General features: G+C 44.9%; 3 annotated features.

Annotated features, from left to right (window-relative positions):
* Nucleotides 4,513-5,037: an enhancer, noted in NCBI's record as "H3K4me1 hESC enhancer chr5:157398347-157398871 (GRCh37/hg19 assembly coordinates)". NCBI's record gives its function as "activates a minimal SCP1, AML or CMV promoter by ChIP-STARR-seq in naive H9 embryonic stem cells {active_cell/tissue: H9 hESC(naive)}" and the evidence as "EXISTENCE:reporter gene assay evidence [ECO:0000049][PMID:30033119]".
* Nucleotides 5,038-5,562: an enhancer, noted in NCBI's record as "H3K4me1 hESC enhancer chr5:157397822-157398346 (GRCh37/hg19 assembly coordinates)". NCBI's record gives its function as "activates a minimal SCP1, AML or CMV promoter by ChIP-STARR-seq in naive H9 embryonic stem cells {active_cell/tissue: H9 hESC(naive)}" and the evidence as "EXISTENCE:reporter gene assay evidence [ECO:0000049][PMID:30033119]".
* Nucleotides 8,430-9,320: an enhancer, noted in NCBI's record as "H3K27ac-H3K4me1 hESC enhancer chr5:157394064-157394954 (GRCh37/hg19 assembly coordinates)". NCBI's record gives its function as "activates a minimal SCP1, AML or CMV promoter by ChIP-STARR-seq in naive H9 embryonic stem cells {active_cell/tissue: H9 hESC(naive)}" and the evidence as "EXISTENCE:reporter gene assay evidence [ECO:0000049][PMID:30033119]".

Genomic DNA, 21,112 nt, shown 5'->3' with positions numbered 1-21,112 from the left:
GCAAAGTGGAGACACACATCCATGACCTGAAAGTCATACTACCTACCTCCAACTTTCAATAAAGAGAGTGGGAACTCTGGCTGTCCTGCTCTCCCAAATGAGAAGCAAGCTATCCCATGATGTGTGGTCTAGGGTTCCTCATTAGACTGCTGTTGTTCTTCTTCTTCCTCCTCCTCCTCCTCCTTTTCCCTTCTCCTCCTCCTCGTCCTCTTCTTCTTCTTCTTCCTTCTTCTTCTTCCCTCTTCTTTTCTTCTTCTTCCTTTAGAGACAGGGTCACACTCTGTTGCCCAGGCTAGAGTGCAGTGGCACAATCATAGTTCACTGCAGCCTTGAACTCCCAGGCTCAAGCAATCTTCTTCCCTCCACCTCCCACATACCTAGGACTGCAGGCATGCGCCACTACACCCAGCCAGACCCATCTTCTTAAAAGAAAACTTTTTCCTTACAGCTTGCTAAAACTTCAGAAAAGAACCCTAGGGTCCAAAATTCTTTTAGGTATGGGCAAAAAACAAGTTTTACCCAAAACTGGGTTTGTCTTTAGAATCCTGTTAGCCTTTCCCTCCGCAACCTAGTAGTCTAATCCAGGAAAGTCAGTATTCCCAAATAAATCAACTCCATTGATGATCAAACTTCTTCTTATAGCCAGGAGTTTCAAATCCTTTTCTCACTAACCTTTCATCAAATTTGCTCAAAAATCACCAACTTTTAACTATTCCAGTTCTTTTTCCTCCTTGGGTAATTACCAATGGATATGTCAGTGAGCAGCAAATGGAAAAAGAAGGTGGAAAACTGAGGGTCCATGTGACCCAGTAGTCTGGTTGCAAATCCATGAATAATTCACAGCTAACTATGCCCATGTGAAAGAAAATGAGAGATGTTTAGTTACAGCATGCAAAAACAAACAAATGAAGAAAAGAATTAAATTTCAAATATGATCATAACTATATAAGGAAAAAAAAAGCAAATGAGAGAAAAAATGAAAATGAGAGAGCAGGATCCCAGGAATAACATTAAACCATGACTGTGAAAGACAAAGAGAATATGAGGGAAAATAATAACAATATAGAAATCTACCTTACTACACAGTGTATAGCAAAAGAACAGTAAATAATGAATCTCCCACTACCATTAAATTAACTTCAAATTGTTTTTGTTTCTAATTTACATATGCCTGAATCAAATGTGACGGTGGAAGTCTTTTTTTAATGCTATTTACATGCCACAGAAATATTGCAACCAGAATGAAAGATTATTGATCGTTTCCAATAGCTTCCTCTAAAGTATATGCCAAACTCATGGAAGGTATATGTGAGAGTCATTTGAATTTCAAATGCATTTACAAGGGTCAGCGCTATCACAGTACATAGCAAATGAATCTGTAATGAAGAGGTATTCCAGACCGATCGTTTCCAAATTATGCTTTTAGATTATCTTCATTTCTGTCTTGAAAATATGTCCTATTATTTATAGCATGGAATGAGAAACCCTGGACTTTTCTGACATCGAATTATATCTCTGGTTTTTACGATTGCTCTCTCATGCTTTTACACACCAGCCTAGCCACAACAGACTCATACGCTTATTTTTTCTAGTAAACTCCTAGAAGCCTTCAAACCCCAGCTCAAATATCACCTGCTCTGCAAAACCTTTGCCAGCACTCCCAGGTGGAGTAGAAATCCCTACTCAGCACTCTCATCACCCTATGTGCATGCGTCTATTCTACATGCAGCTTCAGCAAGCGTCTTCTCTTCTGGCACCCAAACTCATCAGGTTAAGATAGAACCATGGTGCAGCAGGGCACGGTGGCTCACACCCATAATCCCAGCACTTTGGGAGGCCGAGGTGGGTGGATCACCTGAGGTCAGAAGTTCAAGACCAGCCTGACCACCATGGAGAAACGCCGTCTCTACTAAAAATACAAAAAATTAGCCAGGTGTGGTGGTTCATACCTGTAATCTCAGCTACTCGGGAGGCTGAGGTAGGAAAATTACTTGAACCTGGGAGGTAGAGGTTGCAGTGAGCCGAGATCGCACCATTGCACTCCAGCCTGGGCAACAAGAGCAAAACTCCGTCTCAGACAGAAAAAAAAAAAAAAGATACAGCCACAGTGCGGTATGTATGGATTGTACTAGTAGTTAAGTAACAGAGACCTATGCGAGCTAACTTAAATTCAAAGACAGGGAGGGAGGCATATTATTATAAGCCTATATGGGAATCTCATGGAATCCAAGCCAAGCTTCAGGGAAAGACTGGTAAAAAACATGGAAGCCATCTGGAACCTAAATCACACTCCCATCTTCTTTCTTTCTTTTTTTTTCTTTTTAGAGACAGAGTCTCGCTCTGTCACCCAAGCTAGAGTGCAGTGGCGCCATCTCGGCTCAATGCAACCTCCATCTCCTAGGTTCTAGCAATTCTCCTGCCTCAGCCTCCCGAGTAGCTGGGATTACAGGAGCACGCTGCCACATCTGGCTAATTTTTTGTATTTTAGTAGAGACGGGGTTTCACCATGTTGCCCAGGGTGGTCTCAAACTCCTGAGCTCAGGCAATCCACCAGCCTTGGCCTCCCAAAGTGCTAGGATTACAGGCATGAGCCACCACGCCCGGCCACACTCCCATCTTCTATAACCAATTCTTCCTAACATCTGCTTTACTCTTTAAACTATAGACAACACAACAAAAGGAACAGGGTGGTGGTGGAGAGACTTGAGTTTCACCACAATTTTAGCACCTACATGGGGCAAGTCCAGTGATGCTAAAAGATCAATCTCTTGTTGTCTCCCCTTCAGTCCCAATTCCAAATTCCAGGGAGGAAATGGAATTGCCCAGCCTGAGTCGAGTGTCCACAGTGATCCCATTTGCAATGTTCAGGTGGCCAGGCATATGTGGTTCAAACACAATTCTTGGGAACACTGGGAAGGGGAGCAGAAAAGAAGGGAGAATCATTGTGAGTTAAGCAGACAGCCCAAAAGGTGACGCCTATGCAGGTATTTTGTTGGAAAAAAGGGAAGAAGGGAAGGAAGGGAGGGAAGGAAAGAGGGAGGGTGAGAAGGGAGGGATGAATCAAAATACATTTTAGAGGCATTTCTCACGGTGATGAGTCAAACCAGAAAGAACTTAGTGTCTTACTGGGGATGTTCATGAAATCCAATGGCAGTGACATCATTGAATATATGTGCATATGATGATGTGCACCTGCCTGTAGGTAGCCACTGATATGGACTCTTACATTTGAGAACATGTAACCTAATCAATCACTTGGATTTGCAGTTTAGGAAAAATCAAAAATATGTGAAGAACCCAAAACCCCAAATCTATACTGTCAGTGGCATCTTCTCGAAACAATCCAGAGGGCTGTAGCCTTCATGCTCAGTAGGCATCAAAACCTACTGGGAGGTAGAAGAGAAACCCATTTCTACTCACTGAAGTAAATGTGTGCTCACAGCAAACAATAGCAGCGCTTTGGGCATCAGACTGTCAATAAGACTAAAGCCTCGGTATGGCCAAGGTTTCCCAAAGTATGGTCCACATTGGAATCTCAGCCAAGAAATCTGCACTTTTTTTTTTTTGAGACAGGGTCTTGCTGTGTTGCCCCGACTGGAGTGCAGTTGTATGCTCAGGGTTCACTGTAGCCTTGACCTCCTGGGCTCAAGCAATCCTCCTACCTCAGCCACCCAAGTAGCTAGAACCACAACACCCAGCTAATTTTTGTATTTTTTGTAGGGAGGGGATTTTGCCACGTTGCCCAAGCTGGTCGTGAACTCATGAGCTCAAGTGATCCTCCCGCCTTGGCCTCCCAAAGTGCTGGAGTTACAAGAGTGAGCCACTAAGCCCAGCCTGGGAAGCTTCTTATGCATAGCACCACTGTGTAGCAGTGTAGTAAGTGGCCTCTAAAATGACTTCCAATGATCCCCAAGCTATATGCTTTTGCAGCTCCCTCCCACGTTATACTTGGTTTGATCTGATTCCTCCCACATTATACTTGGTTTGATTTGTATTACCAATAGCATATAGCAGAAGTGATAATACATCACTTCCAAGATTAGGTTATAAAAATATTTTGGCTTTCATCTTAAGAGCTTTGTCTCTCTTTCTCCCTCTCTTTGTCTCTCTCTCTTTGTCTTTCTCCCTCTCTTTCTCTTTTCTTAGGTAACCATTCCCACTGGGGAAAGCCATGTCATGAACAGCCCTATGGAGAAAAAACATGTGGCAAGCAGCTGAAGCTCCTGCCAACAGCCTCATGAGTGAGATTAGAAGCGAATACTCCAGCTCCTTCAGAAACTGCAGCACTGGCTGACAGCTTGACTGCAGCATCCTAAGAGACTCTGAAATCAGAACCACTCGGCTAACCATTCCCAGATTCCTGACCCTCAGAAACCATGTGAGATCATAAATGTTCATTGTTTTATTGTTTTAACTGGCTACATTTGGGGGTAATTTATTACACAGCAATAGATAAATAATACAGGTAGCTAGTCTCCAAAGAGGCCCCTTCCTGTCCTTACATACTGCTCCTCACATCAAGAGATGGAGCTTATTTTTCCTTTCTTTACATTTGAGCTGGCCCCGTGGCTTGCTGAACAATAGAATGCAGCCAAAGTGACATTCTGGGACTTTTGAGACCAGCTTTTAAGAGAACTGGCAGCTAGCTACCTCTTGGAATCCAGACACATGCTGTGAGCAACCAAAGCCACATGGATCGGGTATGGAGAGGAGAACAGAAGTGCCTGTTTGGCAGCTCCAGCTGAGCTCCCAGCCAACAGCCAGCGCAGACTGTCTGCCTTGTAAGTGAGCCCTCTTGAATGTCCCATCCAATTGAGCCCCCCAGGTGACTGCAGTCCCCACCCACACCATGTGAAGCAGAACTGCCCAGTCAATCCAAAGAACTGTGAAAAACAAAGGGTTGTTATTTTAAGTCACTAAATGTGGGGGGTAGTTTTCAGGTAGCAATAGATAACCAAAACATATTGTCTTTTTTGTTGTTGTTGTTGTTGTTGTTTTTGTTGTTGTTTTTGAGACGGAGTCTCTCCCTGTCGCCCAGGCTGGAGTGCAGTGGCGCGATCTCGGCTCACTGCAAGCTCTGCCTCCCGGGTTCACGCCATTCTCCTGCCTCAGTCTCCCGGGTAGCTAGGACTACAGGCGCCCGCCACCACGCCCGGCTAATTTTTCGTATTTTTAGTAGAGATGGGGTTTCACCGTGTTAGCCAGGATGGTCTCGATCTCCTGACCTCGTGATCCGCCCACCTCGGCCTCCCAAAGTGCTGGGATTACAGGCATAAGCCACCGTGCCTGGCCGACATATTGTCTTAAACTGATGAATTTGTTCTCTAATGATTAGATTCCCAGCACCCATCTGTAAGTGGAGTATAGATGTCTGTTCAAGGGACTTTTCCAGGCAAAGAAGTCATGCCTTGTAAGATTGTCTTGTACCTTGCATTTCCTTTCTATTCACCAGGATGCTGGGTATCACTAGAGGCCTACTAAGGCCTTTTGACATTGGTTCCTCCAATTTCTGTTCTGCTTCTAATAACAGCAGGAAGAACTAACATTTACTGAGCTCTACTAGGTCCCTGGCACTGTCCTCATTTACCTCTATTAATTTATTAAATTATTGGCTGGGCACGGTGGCTCACGCCTATAATCCCAGCACTTTGGGAGGCCGAGGCAGACGGATCCTTTGAGGTCAGGAGTTCGAGACCAACCTGGCCAATATGGTGAAACCCCGTCTCTACTAAAAATAAGAAAAAAAAATTAGCTAGGTATGGTGGCAGACACCTGTAATCCCAGCTACTGGGGAAGCTGAGGCAGGAGAATCACTTGAACCCGGGAAGTGGAGGTTGCAGAGAACCAAGATTGCACCATTGCATTCCAGCCTGGGTGACAGAGTGAGATTCCACCTCAAGAAAAAAAAAAAAAAAAAAATAGCAACACTAAGAGCTAGGTCTTGTTGTTACCTCCATTCTCCGTATGGGGAAACTGGGGCCTACAGAGGTAAAAAACTTGATCAAGCTCACACAGAACTCATAGGCAATCAAGCCAGCAGTAGGGCTGGTGCAGTGGCTCACGCCTGTAATCCCAGCACTTTGGGAGGCCCAGGCAGGCAGATCACATGGTCAGGAGTTCGAGACCAGCCTGGCCAATATGGTAAAACCCGTCTCTACTAAAAATACAAAAATTAGCTGGGCGTGGTGGCGCACACCTGTAGTCCCAGCTACTCAGGAGGCTGAGGCAGAAGAATTGCTTGAACCCAGGAGGTGGAAGTTGCAGTGAGCCGAGATCGCGCCATTGCACTCCAGCATGAGTGACAGAGTGAGACTCTGTCTCAAAAAAAAACAGCCAGCAGTGCGTGGGAATCAGTCAGTTCAGCTCCACATCCATGCTTCACCACTGCTCCACACTACACTCAATCACAGGAGGTAGGATGCTCCCATTACCTCCATTTTAGGGACAGGAACCTGAAGCTTATGGACAGTGAGTCTCTGGCACAGAGTTCACACAGTTAATAAAGGGAAGACCTAGAAGGAAACTTCCCCTTTCACCTATGCTCTTAAACACAATCCTATTTTGCATCCCCACCTTTGCAGAACATGCAGATTGTAGCGGGGGTCTGGTCCAGTCATGTAATCTCCACTCTGTTAGGCCCTACCTTCCAGGCTCTTCTAGGCTATACCTTATGAACAGTATTTTAAGGAAGAGACAGGTCAAGGAATCACACAACTATGGTGTCAACTTGGCAGCTCCTGGAATTGCTTTTTGTTTTGTTTGTTTTTATTTTTTTGAGACAGGATCTCCCTCTGTTACCTGGGCTAGGGTGCAGTGGTACAATCACAACTCACTGTAGCTTCAACCTCTTGAGCTCAAGCAGTCCTCCTGCCTCAGCCTCCCGAGTAGCTGGGATCACAGGTGCAACCATCACACCTTGCTAATTTTTCATTTTTAATAGAGGCCAGGTCATATCATGTTGCCCAGGCTGGTCTCAAACTTCTGGGCTCAAGTGATCCTTTCACCTCAGCCTCCCAAATTGTTGGGATTACAGGCACGAGCCACCACTTCAGCCTAGCTCCTGAATCTTCTCTGCCCCCATTTTGGAGGAGATCATCAGAACTTAGAAACATTATCTTGATTTCTTTACAAACACCTGGCCCAGTCCGGGCGCAGTGGCTCACCCCACTGTAATCCCAGCACTTTGGGAGGACGAGGTAGGCAGATCACAAGGTCAGGAGTTAGAGACCAGCGTAGCCAACATGGTGAAACCCCATTGTCACGTGCGTCCGTGTGAAGAGAACACCAAACAGGCTTTGTGTGAGCAACAAGGCTGTTTATTTCACCTGGGTGCAGGCAGGCTGAGTCCGAAAACAGAGTCAGTGAAGGGAGATGGGGTGGGGCCATTTTATAGGATTTGGGTAGGTAGTGGAAAATTACAGTCAAAGGGGGTTGTTCTCTGGCGGGCAGGGGCAGGGGTCACAAGGTGCTCAGTGGGGGAGCTTCTGAGCCAGGAGAAGGAATTTCACAAGGTAACGTCATCAGTTAAGGCAGGAATCGGCCATTTTCACTTCTTTTGTGACTCTTCAGTTACTTCAGGCCATATGGATGTATACGTGCAGGTCACAGGGGATATGATGGCTAGCTTGGGCTCGGAGGCCTGACACCCATCTCTATTAAAAATACAAAAATTAGCCAGGTGTGGTGGTGTGCGCTTGTAATCCCAACTATGCAGGAGGCTGAGGCAGGATAATTGCTTGAACCTGGGAGGTGGAGGTTGCAGTGAGCCCAGATCATGCCACTGCACTCCAGCCTGGGAGACAGAGCGAGACTCCGTCTCAAAAAATAAATAAATAAATAAATAAACAAACAAACAAACTGCTGGCCCATTTTCAGGGACTCAAGAAACTAACCATATTTAGAAGTTCAAAAGAAAAAAAAAGTCAGCAAATTCACAGATCTGCAGGAGAGCAATATTTCCTGTTTAACTCCTCCTATCCTGAAACAAATGAAAAGAAAACCCATTTGCTCTCTGCTCATTTTTCTATGAACAGTCTCCATCAAGAAAATTGAGTATTTTTGACATCCATGCTTTACAGACAGTAAGGAAGAAAAAGAAAGCAAACTTTCCCATACACAATCTCACTTGATTCTCATGAGGGTTTTTGTTTGTTTGTTTCTTTTTGGAGACAAAGTCTCGCTCTGTCACCCAGGCTGGAGTGCAGTGGCATGATCTCAGCTCACTGTAACCTCTGCCTCCCAGGTTCAAGCGATCCTCATGCCTTAGCCTCCCAAGTAGCTGGGATTACAGACATGCACCACCACACCTGGATAATTTTTGTATTTTTAGTAGAGACAGGGTTCACGGTGTTGGCCAGGCTGGTCTCAGAATCCTGGTCTCAAGTGATCCACCCACTTCAGCCTCCCAAAGTGCTGGGATTACAGGCGTGAGCCACCACTCGCAGGCCTCTAATCAGTTTCTTTTAATAGCAAAAGGTATTTTACATATGTAGCATGAAGATTTATTGAGAATTTACGGTAGCAGGAAAATCTACTGATATTTTTGTGCCTATTTCTTCTTGTCTATCAGGAAGGAATCAATAGTATTTGCCCCATCCTGATGTTACCGGGGGTCCTTGCTCCCAGAGTTCCCAAGATGGTGGCGGGCCACTTCCAAAATGGCGGCGGGCCACTTCCAAGATGGTGGCAAGCCTTGTGTTCTCTGACCTGGGGTTCTTGGCCTCACGGATTCCAAGGAATGGAATCTTGGGCCATGCGGTGAGTGTTATAGCTCTATTAGAAGCCGTGGGTCACAGAAGAGAACCGTGGAACCCAGTGACTACTGTTCAGCTCGATTAGGATGAACCCAGGCACTTAGCCATGCAGGAACAATGGCAAGCCGTTAGCCCAATCGGGAGCAGCAATGGGCGCCTGGCTGGATCAGGAGCACAGAAGGCACCCTGCCGGTTCCGGAGGGATGGAAGTCAGCGGCGGGTCTATGACGGTGGAAAAAGCAGTTGTGGATGGCGAGCGAAAGCTCAGCTCAAGCCATAAAAAACACGGACCAGAAGAGTGCAGTTGCAAGATTTAATAGTGTGAAATAAGAGTGAAAACAGAGCTCCCATACAAAGGGAGGGGACCCAAAGGGGGTTGTCGTTGCCGGCTCAAATGCCTGGGTTTATATCCTGATCATTGTCCCTTCCGCTGTGCTCTCAGGCAACAGATGATTGGCTATTTCTTTACCTCCCGTTGTTGCCTAATTAGCATTTTAGTGAGCTCTCCTTACTATCTGATTGGTCAAGTGTGAGCTAAGTTGCAAGCCCCATGTTTAAAGGTGGAAGCGGTCACCTTCCCAGCTAGACTTAGGGATTCTTAGCCTAGGAAATTCAGCTAGGCCTGTCTCTCACTGAGGGGCATTTGTTCCAGGGTCAAAAAAGAAAGCTGACAGCAGTGGGGCCAGGAGAACACCCTGATTATATCCCCAGATCAGACTTGGCATCCTGAAGGACTTGCCCAGGGGTCAGGCCTTTAGTGGAGATACGTCCTTTCTAAATAGGGTCATATTCAGCTGGCTGCTCAGAGGGATTTGGGCAAAACAGTCTAGGAACAACTACTTTGCAAGTAGCTATGTTGTTCCAGAGTGGTGAGGACTGGCTGGGTGATGCTTTGGTGCTTTGAGGGCAACCTGAGGTAAGATTCCTCCGGCTTCGGGTTGAGAGTTGGTGCCTCCTCACCCAGGAGAAGTGACTGAGGCCTGAGTCCCAAGTGCTGTGGCTTCAGAAGCCTTAGCAACAATCCCATAGCAGAGCTGGACACCATAGTGACCATCTCGCCTTGAGTGCCAGAAACCTTTGCCATTTTTCTAGACTGCGTAAGCCATTGATAAGCCTCCCGTGAGTGGAGGAACACCAGGGCTCTTGTCTTGTCTTGAGTTAGATAAAACAACATGGACACACGTGGAGTGGTTTTAAGGAGCGGAGAGTTTAATGGGCAAGAAGGGGCAAGAAGGAAGGGAGAAGGAAAAAGCTCCCCTGTACAGAGACAGAGGGAGTGGGATTCCAAAGCCAAGAGAGGGAACCCCACCTGCCACAAATATACAGAGGCTAGAGGAGGCAGTGTTTAATTTGCATAGGTCTCAGGGGATTGGTTTGAGTAGGCAGGTCATTCACGTCGCCCGCGAAAAAGCTGGCCCTTCCACCCTAGCCTTTTAATACGCAAATGAAGGGTGCCATGATGTTCTACACACGTGGGGATATGTGGGGGCGGTCATGTTGCCAGCTACATGTGGGGCAAGGACAAGAAGAGGGGGGAAATCGCCATGTTTGGGTGGACCCAGTTTCTAATGGCCTGCATTTGCAAATCAAAGGTTGCCTGCCTGGCTCGAAGAGCCAGGGCTTTACAAGAAAATTTCCAGAGATGCTTTAAAACACGAAAACTTCCCAAGGACCCCTTTTTCTCTCTATCTGCCTAAAATAATGTCTTAATAACTCCTACAATACCATGAGATCTCAAACCAAACTAGGAAATGAGAGGGAACCCCTGCCTCCCTGGCCCATGGAAACACACAAATGACTGCATCTACCTTGTCAACCTTGGCAAGTGAAGCCTGAGCCAGATTTACTATTTTTAAAATAATGTAAAAACATGATATTGCTTGCACCCCTCCATCATAAAACAAATCATACCTTTTGCAGCACACATTTCCATTTCCCACCACAGAAAAGAAAAAAAAATCACAAATAATTTTACTTAAATCTCAGTTTCTTAGATATTAACATTTTCTCCTCTTTCCTCCTGTTTTTTTCTCTGACATCTTTCCTATTGCATAATATTAGACTTTAAGCAGGTCAGCTCTTATTTCTTTCACACACTTGCTTGTCTTATTTACCCTCTCTGCTCTTCCAGAAAGTCATTGTTTCCATTGCACAGCATTTTTCCTCCCTCAGGTCCACGTTTACAGAATGCCTGCTAGCCTCTGAGCACTGGTCAGCAAACCAAGACCCACAGGCCCAATTCTGCCCATAGCCTGTGTTTGTAAATAAAGTTACATTGGAATATAGCCTCACTCATTCAATCAGGTATAAACCAAAAATAAAATTCTAAGCCCCACAACTGACTGACGGATGCTCCACCCTTTGCCAAGAGTATTCCAAAGTAAACCTGAAAATCCAGTTTGGGCCATGATGGAAGTGGAGGATGGAATATGCCTCACTATGCTCTCCTCCCTTTGGAATTCAGGGAACACTGACCAGCATTAACATTAAAACAGAGATTTTGAGACAGAACAGACTCTTTGTAGTAATAAGATACCACCAATTCCAACCTGACTCTAGTATAGCATCACATGACAGAGAGCAGGCCCTGAAAGAAACTGAAGTGTTTTGCCCTGAAATATATATATATATATATATTTTGAGACAGAGTCTTGCTGTCGCCCAGACTGAGTGCAGTGGTACGATCTTGGCTCATTGCAAGCTCCGCCTCCCAGGTTCACGCCATTCTCCTGCCTCAGCCTCCCGAGTAGGTGGGATTACAGGAGCCTGCCACCACATCCAGCTAATTTTTTTGTATTTTTAGTAGAGACAGGGTTTCACCATGTTGGCCAGGCTGGTCTTGAACTCCTGACCTCAGGCGATCTGCCTGTCTTGGCCTCCCAAAGTGCTGGGATTACAGGCGTGAGCCACCGCACCCAGCTGAATGTTATTTTAATAGTGGTCTCTGCAAAGTGTTCTGGAAGCACCATTAGGTTTTAAATCATCCCATGGCTTATAGCTGCCATCCTAGTTGAGGCTTCATATTGCAGATAGCAAACAACCATTCAAGCTACATTATGCCAAAAAAAGAATTTTTTATAAAGTAATATGATGTTGTTTTCTTTTCTTTTCTTTTTTTTTTTTTTTTTTTTTTTAGACAGAGTCTCGCTCTGTCCCCCAGGCTGGAGTGCAGTGGCGTGATCTCAGCTCACTGCAACCTCCACCTCCCGGGCTCAAGCAATTCTCTTTCCTCAGCCTCCCAAGTAGCTGGGATTACAGGCACCCGCCACCCCACCCTGCTAATTTTTGTATTTTTAGTAGAGACAGGGTTTCACCATGTGGCCCAGGCTGGTCTTGAACTCCTGACCACAGGTGATCCACCCGCCTCAGCCTCCCAAAGGGCTGGGATTACAGGCGTGAGCCACTGCACTTGGCCGGCTGTTTTCTTCTTAGTCAGAATTCAATCAGATAACAAAAGCACTACCAGTATTATGGAATAAAACGTTTATTAAATTTATGATAGAAATGATACTTTACACAATTGTGGGAGGAGCTAGGGAAGTAAGGTCTAAAAACAGCAACTGGAGAATCAGTGGCAAGTTTCTAACCAACCTGGCCTCAGAGGGGACAAGCCAGAACAGAGTGAAGAAGCAATGAGGGCACAAGCTTGAAATACAAGCAAATCGTGTATTGACTCATGTCCATATTGACATCATCTGTTACGTCTCTTCCCTTTCGCAAGATTCCCACTTGCACCCATTCAAAGAACAGAAATGCAGCTCAAAATTCCACCCTTTTGAGGACTTGTAATTCTTTGCTTTATGTTGCTGTGAGAAGGATCCTCTCTCAAACCCTCATCTTCATCCCTGTATGTAAGAAGTGACAATGATATTCTATAGGTTGATGCAAAAGTAATTGGGTTTTGTGCCTTTAAAAGTAATGGCAAAAACTGCAATTACTTTTGCACCAACCTAATAGGTTTTCTTCTCTGCAGTAGTTCCTGTCTCATTCAGAATAAGGATTCAAGTCGCAACTTTATTGATTTTGATCACAGGTTATTTCAAATTTCCAGAACAGTGATCGGGTGAGTGAAGGTTCTAAAACATATTTGCAAATTCATTGACATTGCTCCCACAAAAGGTGGAGTCCAATTCAACCTCCCCTTGATTATGGGCTGGCCACAATGACTTCTTCAAAGAGATAGAAGGCAATGGAAGGATGTTGTGCAACTTATGAGGCTTATCACCAAAAGTAATACAGGCCAGGCATGGTGGCTCATGCTTGTAATCCCAGCACTTTGGGAGGTTGAGGCAAGGGGATTGCTTGAGTCCAAGAGTTCAAGACCAGCCTAAGCAACATAGTGAAACCCCATCTCTACAAAAAATGTGCTGGGCATGATGGTGCACCTATAGTCCCAGCTACTTCTGAGGCTGAGGTGAAAGGATTGCTTGATCCCAGGCAGTCGAGGCTGCAGTGTGCTGTGATCGTGCCACTGTACTCAGCTTGGGCAATAGAGTGAGACCTTGTCTCAAAAAAAAAAAAAAAAAAAAAAAGGGCCGGGCACGGTGGCTCACGCTGGTAATCCCAGCACTTTGGGAGGCCGAGGTGGGCGGATCATTTGAGTTCAGGAGTTTGAGACCAGCCTGGCCAACATGGCGAAACTCCATCTCTACTAAAGATGCAAAAATTAGCCAGGCATAGTGGCAGGAACCTGTAATGCTGGCTACTCAGGAGGCTGAGGCAGGGAGAACTGCTTGAACCTGGGAGGTGGAGGTTGCAGTGAGCCAAGATTGCGCCACTGCACTTCAGCCTGGGCGGCAAAGCAAGACTCTGTCTCAAAAAGAAAAAGAAAATGAAATGCAAATTCCATGTGGCTTTTTCTCTGTCCTTAGTACACACACCTCTGGAGCCCTGAGCCATCACGTAAGCAGTTTGATTACCCTGAAGCCACCATTCAGGAGAGATTACTTAGCGACATCACATAAAGCTCGAGAAAGATGTCTGAGGATCCCTGCTTGATCCAGTCCCTGGCCATTCAAGGCTCCGAGCCTAGGCTAGGAGCAGCATCCAAATATTTCTACTCTCCAGCCTCCTACCTACCCCGGCCAACACAAAGAAGAGCAGAAATGAGCTTTCTCCACCAAACCCAGTTCAAACTGCATATCTGTGAGGGAAAAAAAAAATGTTGTTGAGTCTTAGGCCATAAGTTTTGGGGTGGTTTATTATGTATCCATAGTAACTGAAGCCGATGCAAAGCAATTTTCCAAATAAGCAATAGAGTTTTAACTCAGAACAGAGTTAGGTTGAGCTGCCAAAGATAAAAATGCATATATACCAATATATCACTTTGGAATTTCATTCATCCGTGTCATTCAGCTATCCATCCAACAAATATTTATGAAGTGCCTCCTTTGTGTGCTGGGGATTCAGTGGCAAAGACAGACATGATCTCCGTCCTGATGGAGCTTCCGGGCTTTAACCGTGGGTTAAAGAGACATTGACAAGTAATTTATGAGTGTTAGAAAAGGGAGAAGCCCAGGATGCTTTGAGCCCTTGTCAGATAATAAGTCACATGTCTGTTCTGGAAATTTCTTAAAGATAAGTTTTCCTTAATTGCTAAGCATTGTTTGGGTTCTGGCAATGTTCCAGATATACAGAGCAAAAGAAAAGATATCAATTTACAATTTCAGCAAATGCAAGCTGCTAGGTTGTAGGGGTTTATGGTGGCTGCTTTCAACTCCAACAGTCAGCTGTCCTTTCTCTGGATCAAACATACATAGACAAGATGCTAATTGTATGCTTTTTCCTGCGCCTACTTTGAAATTATTTATAATGATGAAACTATAAGATCATCTTGTCTAAGAAACACTGCCATGCAAAGTGGCTTTAGTTGGGTTGCAAATTGAAATTACTCACAAGATCTATATTAGAAGCTAAAAGCTTTCTTATCAGGCTGCTGGTAATGAAGTTTGCTAACCATTCTAGTACATAAAGTAGAATTATGAAAACTGATTCAGTCTAATTATCAAAGGGTCAGGTTTTTTCTGCTGTTCTCAAAATGTAGCCATTGAAGCGGCTTGAAAATTCATTGTCCAGAATTTAAATTACCCATTGCCAAAGCTCAGTAACTGCTCCAAGAATGAACGAAAGTGCTTAAAATCTCCGGACTGTTTGATTACAGGTACCCGTCCGCCGTTTGCTCAGTCATGTACAACTGTGCAATTAAAACAAATGGTGGTGTATAAAAGGCTGACTGAGGTAAATTTGGCCTATGGGCAAAGTGCCAGTCTGTTAGAAGGAAGTGCCAGCCATGATGGGGAAAGCAATGAACAAAAAAGACACGGGCCTCTGTGCAATGCTCTCCTGGCGCTTAGAGTCTAGCAGCGGAGAAAGACAGCAAGAGGGCACCAGGGATAGAGTTTGTAAGAGCTGAGTTGCAGGGGGACAGTTCAGTGTGCTGTATCACAGAGAACTAGCCCAAGGATGTGACCTCTAAGCTGAAGTTCGTGTAGGAGTCAGAAGGTAAAGCTGAGGGGGACAAAGGAGAAAAGAAAGTATGGTTCAGGCTGAGTCAGGTATGGGCTAAGATGCTTGAGATACTCAGAATTTTACAGAAACAGAAAAAATTCAGTATGGCTGGAAGACTAAGAGGCAGAATAATGAGAGATAAGGCTGGACAGGTAGGGAAAAGAGCCAGCCAGTTCCCGAAGGGCCATGTAAGCCATTTCAAAAGGTTCAACTTTCTATTCCTTAGATTTCAAAAATAGCATGAAATCAACATGTTCAGCTAGCACCTTTTAAAAAGAGAGATTCAGGCTGGGCACGGTGGCTCATGCCTGTAATCCCAGCACTTTGGGAGGCCAAGGCGGGCGGATCACAAGGTCAGGAGATCGAGACCATCCTGGCTAACACGGTGAAACCCTGTCTCTACTAAAAATACAAAAAATTAGCCGGGTGTGGTGGCAGGCGCCTGTAATCCCAGCTACTCGAGAGGCTGAGGCAGGAGAATGACATGAACCCAGGAGGTGGAGCTTGCAGTGAGCCGAGATCGCGCCACTGCACTCTAGCCTTGGTGGCAGTGTGAGACTGTCTCAATAAAAAAAAAAAAGAGAGAGAGACTCACGTTTTTTTTCTTTTGAGACAGAGTCTTACTCTGTTGCCCAGGCTAGAGGGCAGTGGCACAATCTCAGCTTGCTGCAACCTTTGCCTCCCGAGTAGCTGAGATTACAGGCATGCACCACTACACCTGGCTAATTTTTGCATTTTTAGCAGAGATAGTGGGGGATGGGAGGGGTTGTTCACCATGTTGGCCAAGCTGATCTCAAACTCCTGGGCTCAAGTGATCCGCCCACCTCAGTCTCCCAAAGTGCTGGGATTGTAGGCATGAACCACTGTGCCTGGCCAAGAGATTCACTTTTATGAGGATCTCTAAACATCAGATGAATGGAAGAAACTGTTTTTCTCTGGCCTTAGGTCAAGAAGGCAGAGAATATGGATCTCCCTTTCTCATGCTCAAGATTTTTGTTCCAAAGACTGGTAGCTATTTCCTCCTTTACCCACTCAGTCTTGACCTCTCTCTCCCCAGCAGATAAGAGACAGAGGCCACAAAATTAAGTCCAAAACATTAGGAAACAGCATTCTCTATTCTTTAGAGGAAATTTTCCAACAAAAATGATAAGAATTACTGTTTCAGACAAGCACAAGAATAGGTAAATATTGAGAGTTTAGAATTGTCAGATTTTCTTCCTAATCTAAGAAAGATTCCTGCATACAACATTTGTACCATTTTTCTGGATCTAAGAAAAATTGATGTATACATGGCACATGTGAATACAGCACCAGCACTTTGTAGCAACCATTTTTACTAGGGAGAAAGTAGTTACACATATTTAAATTTGCTAAGTAATAGAAAAGCCACTTCCCATGAAAGTTGCCTTGTTTGCAAAAAGGGCCTGAGCCAAGTGTACATCTCCTAGATTAAGTGCTAGACATTTAGTGCACCCAGCATGGTGCCAGGAGGTGAGAAAACAGATGAATTAAATACATCCTACAATCCATTGAAAGTCCAGGCACAGGCCCAATGACATAAAACAGGCAGAGCTTCTGGAGCAAACACAATTCTGTCATCTGGAAAAACTTCCCATTTCCTGTTTGCTGAACCAACCACTGGAAACTCACAATATAAAAGGTCTGCAACTTAAAACTGCTGAAGCAAAAAGGCAAGTGTATGAGTTTCCTATTGCTGCTGTAACAAATTGCCAGAAGCTTAATGGCTTAAAACACCATAAATGTATTCTCTTGTAGTTCTGGAGACCAAAAGTCCCAAATGAGTCTGATAGGACTAAAAGCAAAGGGCCAGGAGACCTGCAGTCTTCTGGAGGCTCTAGGGGAGAATCCATTCCTTGTCTTTTCCAGCTTCTAGAGGCTGGCCTTGGTTTACAACTCTCCCTATCACTCTGCACCCCTTGTCTCATCTCCTTTTCTTCCTTTTCTCTTTTTTCCTTTTTCTTTCTTTCTTTCTTTTTTTTTTTTTTTTTTTTTTTTTTTTTTGAGACAGGGTCTTGCTCTGTCACCCAGGCTGGAGTGCAGTGGCAAAATCTCAGCTCACTGCAACCACCACCTCTGGGGTTCAAGAGATTCTCTTGCCTCAGCCTCCCAAGTAGCTGGGACTATAGGCGTGCACCACCACACCCAGCTAATTTTTGTATTTTTAGTAGACATAGGGTTTCACTATGTTGGCCAGGCTGGTCTCGAACTCTTGACCTCAGGTGATCCACCCACCTTGGCCTCCCAAAGTGCTGGGATTACAGGCGTGAGCCACCACATCTGGCTTCATCTCCTTTTCTGGCCCTTGCCTCCCTCTTTCCTTTATAAGAACACTTGTGATTACACTGGGCTCATCTGGATAATCCAGGATCCTCTCATCATCTCAAGGTCCTTAATATAGTCATATCTCAAACTCTCCTTTTGCCACATGAGGTAGCATCTTCACAGATTCAGGCATTAGGACATGTACATCTTTGGAGAGCCTTGATTTTGCCTACCACAATAAGAAGGGAAAAATCTGTAAGATCAGAGAGGACAAGGCCATCTGATCTGTTTAACATCATCCCAGTGCAGTACCTGGCTCATCATCAGTACCCAGTTAACACCTGTTAAATAATTCAGTGAGGCCAGGAGCAGTGACTCACTTCTATAATCCCAGCACTTTGGGAAGCCAAGGCAGGAGGATCGCTTGAGTTCAGGAGTTCAAGACCAGCCTGGGCAACATGATGAGACTCTGTCTTTACAAAAAATTTTAAAAATCAGCCAGGCATGGTGGGATGTAGCTATAGTCTCAGCTACTTGGGAGGCCAATTTGGGAGGATCACTTGAGCCGAGGGGCTCAAGGCTGCAGGAGCCCTTAGCATGATACTGAACTCCACCCTGGGCACCAGAGCAAGACTCTGTCTTAAAAATAATAATAATCAAATAAATAAATAAATAAATAAATAAAGATAGAAGCTATACTACTTCCTATGAAGTCTTGCTCTGTTGCCCAGGCTAGAATGTAGTGGTGTGATCATGGCTCACTGCAGCCTTGACCTCCTGGGCTCAAGTGATCCTCCTCCCTCAGCCTCCCCATGTAGCTGGTACCACAGGCACACACCACTGGGCCCGGCCAATTCTTTAATTTTTTGTAGAGACAGGAGTCTCATTTTGTTGTTCAAGCTGGTCTTGAACTCCTGGGCTCAAGTGGTCCTCTTGCCTCGGCCTCCCAGAGTGCTGGGATTACAGGTGAGAACCACTGCGCCCAGGTGCATCATGATTTTAAACTCAAACTCACACACACTCTCTCCCTGTCTCCCCCCGCCACACACACACACACACACACACACACACACACACACTTGCATGTGCACACCTGTGCATGCAATTGGTATTCACATGGTACCAAAATACCCCATGGGTTCATAAACAAAAACCTGCCAGATTGCTTGAGTGGGCTTTCCACAGACTCTACAACCAAGATATAGAGTGAATTTTCACTAATATATCAGTTTCTTTGGGCAAATTGTAGATACTGCCTCAAATAGGCCATTCTCAGAATAGATGGGTCAACTTTTATCCCAAAGCAACAACTAGGAACCAATTACAGCCATTCTCTTCAATGGGATTTATTTAATATTGGTAATAATCTGTGAATAGAATAATCCAATTGTGAGGAATGTTAGCAACACCAAATATGGCACCTCTATGGTTTCTTAGGCTTCTGCCAACTTCTTCACGCTTCACGCTGCCTTAATTGCTTCTGTAGGGGTTGGTTTCACACGGGGAATGGAGTCCTTTCCAGTGTTCCAGTCAAACTCTCACAATATCAGGTGTGGGAGACTGAGAAGGGCACAGGAAACTTAGGTCCCTCTACTAAATCTGTTTCTACATTATCTCATTTGATCTTCACAACAAGCTTGTTAGAGAGATATAATTAAGAAGCTTACACAAAGTTGCACAACTGAAATCAACGGAATAGAAACTAGAGCCCAAATCTGTCTTCCTCAAAGTCCACTACCTTTCTATCACATCACACAGTGACCACAGCTAAGCAGTCAGCCCTCAGAAAAAGAACCAGCCAATATTTGTCTTCAAAATTCTACTGTTTTTCCTACATCCTCCCCCACTTTCAGCAACCATCTCTCTCATGTTCCTACGAGAGTCCAGTTCCCCTACCACACACACCTATTAAGGAATAAAACATTTCGTAAAACAAACTTTCATGTGCACTACAGCTAGAATTTACTGGGAACTAACTCTATGACCGGCCATGTGTTAAATGTCTTATGTGCATTATGAAATGTAATCTTTTTCTTAGATATGGTTGATGATGCTGAGGTCTGAGGAGTCATTAGCAAAACCAGAACCTGAATTGATTGCATCAGACCAAGTTCTGGGAGTTTCTATTCTGCCACATTGCCTTTGGGGCCACCAGTTACAACTCAATCTTCCCTACCATAATGAGTGTCAGTAAGTGGAGTACAATATTGACTTTGTCATATAAACAAAGCAGTCCAAACAGGGAGTGGAGATAGCAAAAGAACAAGGAGCCTTTAGCAAAGGGAAGAAAAGACTTTCTATGAACAAAGCTCTCTTACGTTTTGCCTTCAAAGAATTTCTTTATAGTAGCAAAGACTCTATGAAATAAATTTGTGTTGGAAAGCACAAGAATGCATCAATGTTTCTTCTGTGTTTTCTATGCCTTCAGTTGAAGGAGCTTGGTAGAAATTGTTCCTTCCAGTGTGAAGCTTACCCTGGTCCTAAGGGATATATAAAGATGGGAGCTGGGTGTGATGGCTCACGCCTGTAATCCCAGCAACTTTGGGAGGCTGAGCCATGTGGATCGCCTGAGCTCAGGAGTTCAAGACCAGCCTGGCCAACATAGTGAAACCCCATCTCTACTAAAAATACAAAAAATTAGTTGGGTGTAGTGGTGCCTGTAATCCCAGATAGTAGGAAGGGTGAGGCAGGAGACTCGCTTGAACCCGGGAGGTGGAGGTTGCAGTGAGCCGAGATCGTGCCATTGCACTCCAGCCTGGGCAACAAAAGCAAAACTCGGAAGAAAGGAAGAAAGAAAGAAAAGGAAGGAAGGAAGGAAGGAAGGAAGGAAGGAAGGAAGGAAGGAAGGAAGAAAGAAAGAAAGAAAAGAAAAGAAAGAATAAAAAGGAAAGAAAGGAAAGAAGGAAGGAAGGAAAGAAAGAAAGGAAGGATCCACAGTCTCCCTTCATAGCATCCTAGAGTCCTTTTACTCTTCTCTACGATCAAACATCCTGGAAAATTTAGAGGTTTCCTAAGAGGTTTACTCATAAGAGGTGAATGAGTCCAAGTTAAAATCCTCCTGTGAAAATAGCCTTCCCCTGCATAGTTCAATATTCTTACTTCCTACTGACTCATGAGCATTCTTTGCAAAGTCTGGGCAGGTGTGTGGTGTGCAGGGACACAAGACTTATTTCTTTTTTTGTTTTGTTTTGTTTTTGAGACAGTCTCACTTCATCATCCAGGCTGGAGTACAATGACACAATCTCAGCTAACTGCAACCTCCACTTCCTGGGTTCAAGCAATCCTCCTGCCTCAGCCTCCAGAAGAGCTGGGATTACAGGTGTGAGCCACCATGCCTGGCTAACTTTTGTATTTTCAGTAGAGATGGGGTTTCACCATGTTGGCCAAACTGGTCTCAAACTCCTGACCTCAAGTGATCCACCTGCTTCAGCCTTCAAAGTGCTGGGATTACAGGCGTGAACCACCACACCGGGCCAGAAGACTTCTTATAGTGGTTCACCTCAGGAGCAAAAGAAAATTCAAGCTGGAGCATGATTTTTCCTTTCATTTCTTTTCTTTCCCTCAGACAG

This window comes from Homo sapiens, chromosome 5, assembly GCF_000001405.40.
Source record: "Homo sapiens chromosome 5, GRCh38.p14 Primary Assembly".
In the NCBI taxonomy this organism is placed as follows: domain Eukaryota; kingdom Metazoa; phylum Chordata; class Mammalia; order Primates; family Hominidae; genus Homo; species Homo sapiens.
The sequence above is the reverse complement of the archived record's forward strand: the minus strand, read 5'-3'. Positions and strand labels throughout refer to the sequence as shown.